The sequence below is a fragment of the Homo sapiens genome, chromosome 2 (assembly GCF_000001405.40).
Source record: "Homo sapiens chromosome 2, GRCh38.p14 Primary Assembly".
Classification (NCBI taxonomy): Eukaryota; Metazoa; Chordata; class Mammalia; order Primates; family Hominidae; genus Homo; species Homo sapiens.
In genome coordinates this window covers 1099074-1103620 of record NC_000002.12, presented here as the reverse complement: position 1 = coordinate 1103620, position 4547 = coordinate 1099074, and the positions used below count along the sequence as shown (strand labels likewise).

General features: G+C 50.9%; 1 protein-coding gene across 15 annotated transcripts in view; it reads right to left on the bottom strand.

The window, feature by feature from the left end:
• SNTG2 (syntrophin gamma 2) overlaps window positions 1-4547 on the bottom strand; it is a 416765-nt gene that overhangs the window by 263993 nt on the left and 148225 nt on the right. Inside the window, exon 3 of one of the 15 annotated variants that reach the window (XM_047444794.1) lies at window positions 179-216. The exons of the other annotated variants lie outside the window; for them this stretch is intronic. The gene's annotated coding sequence lies outside the window, so the exon portion shown is untranslated. The remainder of the gene's footprint in view (window positions 1-178; window positions 217-4547) is intronic. 15 annotated transcript variants of the gene reach the window in all.

Here is a 4547-nt window from a genome sequence, read left to right as displayed (position 1 = left end):
GTCAAGGGATCGAGATGATCCCGGCCAACATGGTGAAACCCCGTCTCCACTAAAAATACAAAAATTAGCCGAGCGTGGTGGCGGGTGCCTGTAATCCCAGCTACTCAGGAGGCTGAGGCACAGGAGAATCACTTGAACCTGGGAGGTGGAGGTTGGTTGCAGTGAACCAAGAACTCACCACTGCACTCCAGCCTGGGCGACAGAGCAAGACTCCATCTAAAAAAAAAAATAAAAAAAAAAAGAAATTTATAATCATTATTTATTTGAAAGGTTAATGAATTGAAAGAATTAAAATTTGTGATTGATATTTAATGTCAAGAAAAATTATATTTAACCTTTCAAATGTAATATTAACAAATTTCCCATTAAACACAATAAAAATAATTATAGATCTCCCCAAAATATACAATCTCACTAGGTATTAAACAATGTCTAGACATATGTGCTCAACCCTATATCTGCACTGAGGAGAGTCTCAGACCTATCTCGACCTCCCAGCCTCTCCACACCCATGACGTGGACCTGTGAATCCTGAGTCCCCTGTGAGGAGTGTGAGGTCTGAAGGTCTCCACATCAGAGGGACCAGGGGGCGGGGGCTCCAGGGTGTGGAATCCTGCACGCAGGCCGCACCTCAACGGTACAATCAGAGTCTTGGCTCTGTCATGCTCTGCAAAGCTGCTCAGGCAATTCAGAGGCTCACGAGCCACTTCGCGAAGAATTCAAGGTGCGAGTGAGCTGAGCTGGGCTGCCTGGCTCCACTCGGACATCAGGCAAGTGTCCAGCCTTGGGCTGTCCACACTCCTAACTCAGGCCTCAGGCACCTTCTCCTCTCCACCTACAGCAAGTCTCTGGGGAAGCACCTCAGTGCCATTCACTTAATTTAAATGCCTCTCTTTAAAAATTCTCTTACCCTGATATCGTCCTCTGAACCTCTCACAGGTACACTCCACTGGCCAGCAAATCAGCCCTGAAACGCAGCACGGAGCCCCTGCTGTCCACGCTCTGCTTCTGACATTCACTCAACAACCCAGGACCTGTGTCGGCCATTTCATTAAACGCACCATCAGCCCCCCTGGTGCTGAGGCTAAAAGGAAACCTCAACCTGGCCTGAGTCCTCCTTCCTCTCAGACACGCAGCCCACCCTTCAGCAGCATGTGACGTGGAGCCTCCAAGGACATCCGGCTTCTGGCCACTTATCTACAAATTCACCAAAATCCCAGAAGGGCAGGGCACGGCAGCCCCTCCTGCACCCTGCACTGGCTCTCCACCTTCCTCCCTGCTTCCTGGAACAGCCTCCTCACAACAGCCAGGGTGACTTTTCTTAAATGAGAAGCTACCCTAATCACACTAATTTTAAACCAACTTCAGCTGACTCTCTTACTCACAGGATAAAAGCATTAACCACATTACAAAAAACAGCGCCCTCTCCCCGTCTCCTCTGTACCACGGTTTCGCTCACTCCACAGGAGCCGTCATCTCTGCAAATGTATCGCACACGTGTTCACTGCCTGCCTTCTCCAGTTGTCTACAAGCTCTGCAATGGCAAGAATTCTGCCTTGGTCTCTGCGGATGGCCCGAGAAGCGTCTTATCTGTAGAAGTTGTTTATTAAATATGATTGGATAAACTCATGGATAAATAAGCACACTAATAATTTTATATTTTGCACTGATCTAACATCTTACAACTGCCTCATTCTTAAAAATGAGCGAGGTGAAGCCTCGGGCTACCTGGCTGCTCTGGTGTCCCTGGAGAATGAGAGCTGGAGAGCTTTCCCACCTGTCCCGGCCTCTCATCACCTGGGGATAACTGCAGACCTGCTCATCCAGAAGAGGATCTAAAATGTGGAGGAATGCAGACAGCTTCTCTTAGCATCCGTAGGTATTCCTAGTTCTAACTGATCACCCCGCATTTGGTTTGTCTGCATCCCGCCCTATCTGGCAGCGCTGTGCTCCGTGGGGTAGAGGGTATGCTCTCCTGGGCTCCAGCACCGAAGTCCCACAGCCCTCCTGCACTCCCTTCATCCTGAGGCCAGACTCCTGTGTCAGTTTAACACAAGACATTCAGGACAACCCAGGGGCTCTGCTTCCTGCAAAACATGCATTCTGTGTTTTACATGGAATGGAAGACATAAAATAAATGAGACCAAGCTTCTGATCCCTAAAAACTCCCAATTCATTGCCAGGACTTTCTGTTCCTGAATGTGCATAAAACGAGGATATAAATGTGTCTCTAAAACATGAATTCTGGCACAGCTGATGAAATGGATCCCAGTGGGGAGAGGCAGGTGCAGGGAGGAACCATGTAAGTTCATCTCCAAGTGCCTGCTGAGGTCGTGGGCCTGGGCCTGGGCCTGGAGGGGTGGTGAGGATGGAGACAGGCAAGCTGGCTGGGGGAGGGGGCAGCAGGGGCAGGCAGGCAGGCTCTGGGTGGGAAATCTGCAGGAGGCACAGAATGCGAGCCTGGGAGCAGGCCTGGGAGGAGCGTGGGGACCTCCCACTGGGGCTACCACACTGGAGTTACTTGTGAAGCTTCCAATGTCAGAAGAGAATGGCATCAGCATGGTCTGAAGACTGCTAAGTTTGGAATCTCCTGGGTCCCAGTTTCTCCTGACCACACTCACCAAGCCTTGGTTGCCTGAGGCAGGGATGAGGCTCGGGAGGGCACACGGGCTACAACCCCAGGGTCACGTTCACACTCCAGGGAGTGTAGCCTTCTTGAGCTGTTTCTCCCCTACAGGTAAAATGGATTTTCCTTCTGAATTGACCATAAACATCCTTTACTGAACGTTACCTACTGGCTAACCTTACTGTCTTATTCTCTTTTCTGAGACTTTTCATCATATCCACCAATTAAAAAAAAACCCATTAATGAAAATAACTGAAAATGTTTGCAAAGAGGACAGGAACAGAGCTGCATTGGGCCATGCCTTCTTTCCACTATCCATCAGTCAGCCAGATGGCTTCAGGGGTGCAACAAGAACCAACCACGCCCGACACAGCAACGGTGGACCCACGGCGCCCGTGTGGAATCCCACTTTATATGAGCCAAAGCACTGGGCCCTGCCAAGCTCGTCAACACCGCCATTATAACACTTGATGTAATACATGCAACAAAATACTGTAGTTCAAATGAATCATAATGTTTCTTTTGAAATGCTCGAAAAACCTCAAAAAGAGGCTGGGTGCGGTGGCTCACGCCTGTAATCCCAGCACTTTGGGAGGCGGAGGCAGGCAGATCACCTGAGGTCAGGAGTTCGAGACCCCCGCCTCTACTAAAAATACAAAAATTAGCCAGGCGTGGTGGCGGGCACCTGTAGTCCCAGCCACTCGGGAGGCTGAGGCAGAAGAATCGCTTGAACCTGGGAGGTGGAGGTTGCAGTGAGCCGAGATCGCGCCTCTGCACTCCAGCCTGGGCATCTCAGTGAGACTCTGTCAGTGGGGTGGGGGAAGAAACCAAAAAAAAAAACCCTGGAAAAGAATCGTCCTTTCATTCAGAGGCCTGCATAGCTCTCTCACTTTTCCCGCCATCTTGGTTACAACTAACCTGTATTTCTTATCACACTTAAATTTCTAGGTTTCCTTCTGAACAGCACCTGCTGCCTCTGAGGCTGAGACTGCCTCTGGGTTTCGGGGCTTGCTGGCCCCTAATTCCTGATTAAATGGAATCCCATCTGCTGCAAGTTTAACGGCAGGTTTGTAAGCTTGCTCAAAAAGGAGAAAAATGTGTTGCTGACCTGACTCTTAAATGTCCTTCTGCCGAAAAAGAATCTTTACCCGGATGCAAATTTCATGGCAACGCATTCTGTGGAAACCTCTCTTCCCTGAGAACGTGTTCACAGCTGCTGTGGGGAATCCAAATCCCACTGGGGCAATCTCTGCAGCAAAACATGGTCTCCTGCACCACACATGGCTGACCTGACCATGACTGCCCTCACCACAACTGCCCTCACCACACCCACCTTCAGATGACCTGACCATCGCTGCCCTCACTGCACCCACCTTCAGAGGACCTGACCATCACTGCCCTCACTGCACCCACCTTCAGAGGGCTCATGGTTAAGGCTTCCCCAGCCTGGGACCTCCAGCCTCTTCAGGGCACTCTACCTGCATACTGGGCTTATGGTTTGGGTAAAATTGGGTGAAATGAGTAAGAATGTTTAGAGAAAAAGTATGAGCTTATTCTGTGCTTTTCACCCAGAACCTCCACATTTCTGGTGGAGCGTGGAGAGAAGCATGTCCCCTCCAGGGACACAGCCAGGGGTCCCCTGCAGTGGCTGTGCTTTCCGGTGTGAGGCACATGAGGTCATAAGGCCACCCGCTTGCCCACTCTGTCTTGCTTCCTGTTCCCCTGCAGGCCTCAAGGACATAAGCTAACCGCCCCACCCCCCGACACGGACCGCATGTCCAGGTGCCCCTTGCTCTGGAGAGCAGGGGAGGAGTGGCCTGAGGCTGCACACCCAGGAGCTGCTGGACCAGGTGGGAGGAGGCCAGCCACAAGGATGCAGAATCCTCCCGATAGGGAGACAGATGCATGGAGTTTACCGCAG